The sequence below is a fragment of the Homo sapiens genome, chromosome 12 (genome assembly GCF_000001405.40).
Source record: "Homo sapiens chromosome 12, GRCh38.p14 Primary Assembly".
NCBI lineage: Eukaryota > Metazoa > Chordata > Mammalia > Primates > Hominidae > Homo > Homo sapiens.
Window position 1 is genome coordinate 54,811,140 of NC_000012.12, and position 2,179 is coordinate 54,813,318.

Sequence of the window (2,179 nt, forward strand, 5' to 3'; positions counted from 1 at the left end):
AGGCCTGATGGTGACAAAATCTCTCAGCATTTGCTTGTCTGTAAAGGATTTTATTTCTCCTTTGCTTATGAAGCTTAGTTTGGCTGGATATGAAATTCTGGGTTGAAAATTCTTCTCTTTAAGAATGTTGAATATTGGCCCCTACTCTCTTCTAGCTTATAGGGCTTCTGCAGAGAGATCTGCTGTTAGTCTGATGAGCTTCCTTTGTGGGTAACCCACCTCTTCTCTCTGGCTGCCCTTAAAACTTTTTCCTTCATTTCAACCCTGGTGAATCTGATGATTATGTGTCTTTGGGTTGCTCTTCTTGAGGAGTATCTTTGTGGTGTTCTCTGTATTTCCTGAATTTGAATGTTGGCCTGTCTTTCTAAGTTGGAGAAGTTCTCCTGGATAATATCCTGAAGTTTGTTTTCCAACCTGGTTCCATTCTCCCCATCACTTTCAGGTACACCAATCAAATGTAGATGTGGTCTTTTCACACTGTCCCATATTTCTTGGAGTCTTTCTTTGTCCTTTTCATTACTTTTTCTCTTACGTTGTCTTCTTGCTTTATTTCATTAAGTTGATCTTCAATCTCTAATATCCTTTCTTCTGCTTGATCGATTTGGCTATTGATACTTGTGTATGCTTCACAAAGTTCTCATGCTGTGCTTTCCAGCTGCATCAAGTCATTTATGTTCTTCTGCATACTGGTTATTCTAGTTAGCAATTCATCTAACCTTTTTTCAAGGTTCTTAGCTTCCTTGCATTGGGTTGGAACAGGCTTCTTTAGCTCAGAGGAATTTGTTATTACCCACCTTCTGAAGCCTACTTCTGTCAATTCGTCAAGTCCATTTTCCGTTTAATTTTGTTCCCTTGGTGACGAGGAGCTGTGATCCTTTGAAGAAGAGGCTTTCTGGTTTTTGGAATTTTCAACATTTTTACACTGGTTTCTCCCCATATTCATGGATTTATCTACCCTTGGTCTTTGATGTTGGTGACCTTCAGACAGGGTCTCTGATTGGACGTCCTTTTTGTGATGTTGATTCTATTCATTTCTGTTTGTTAGCTTTCCTTCTACTAGTCAGGCCTCTCTGCTGCAGGTCTGCTGGAGTTTGCTGGAGGTCCACTCTAGACCCTGTTTGCCTGGGTACCACCAGCAGAGGCTGCAGAAGAGCAAATATTTCTGCCTGTTCTTTCCTCTGGAAGCTTCATCCCAGAGGGGCATCTGCCAGATGTCAGCCAGAGCTCTCCTGTATGAGGTGTCTGTCAACCCCTGCTGGGAGGTGTCTCCCAGTCAGGATACACTGGGGTCAGGGACCCACTAGAGGAGGCAGTCTGACCCTTAGCAGAGCTTGAACATTGTGCTGGGAGGTCTGATGCTCTCTTCAGAGCCATCAGGCAGGGATATTTAAGATGGGGGTTTTATCTATAAGTCCCTGATGGGGGCTGCTTTCTTTTTTTTATTATTATATTTTAAGTTTTAGGGTACAAGTGCACACCGTGCAGGTTAGTTACATATGTATACATGTGCCATGTTGGTGTGCTGCACCAAGGAACCCGTCGTTTAACATTAGGTATATCTCCAGATGCTATCCCTCCCCGCTCCCGCCACCCCACAACAGGCCCCGGTGTGTGATGTTCCCCTTCCTGTGTCCATGTGTTCTCATTGTTCAATTCCCACCTGTGAGTGAGAACATGTGGTGTTTGGTTTTTTGTCCTTGTGATAGTTTGCTGAGAATGATGATTTCCAGCTTCATCCATGTCCCTACAAACGACATGAACTCATCATTTTTTATGGCTGCATAGTACTCCATGGTGTATATGTGCCACATTTTCATAATCTAGTCTATCATTGTTGGACATTTGGGTTGGTTCCAAGTCTTTGCTATTGTGAATACTGCCACAATAAACATACGTGTGCATGTGTCTTTATAGTAGCATGATTTATAATCCTTTGGATATATACCCAGTAATGGGATGACTAGGTCAAATGGTATTTTTAGTTCTAGATCCCTGAGGAATCGCCACACTGACTTCCACAATGGTTGAACTAGTTTACAGTCCCACCAACAGTGTAAAAGTCTTCCTATTTCTCCACATCCTCTCCAGCACCTATCGTTTCCTGACTTTTTAATGATCGCCATTCTAACTGGTGTGAGATGGTATCTCATTGTGGTTTTGATATGCATTTCTCTGATGG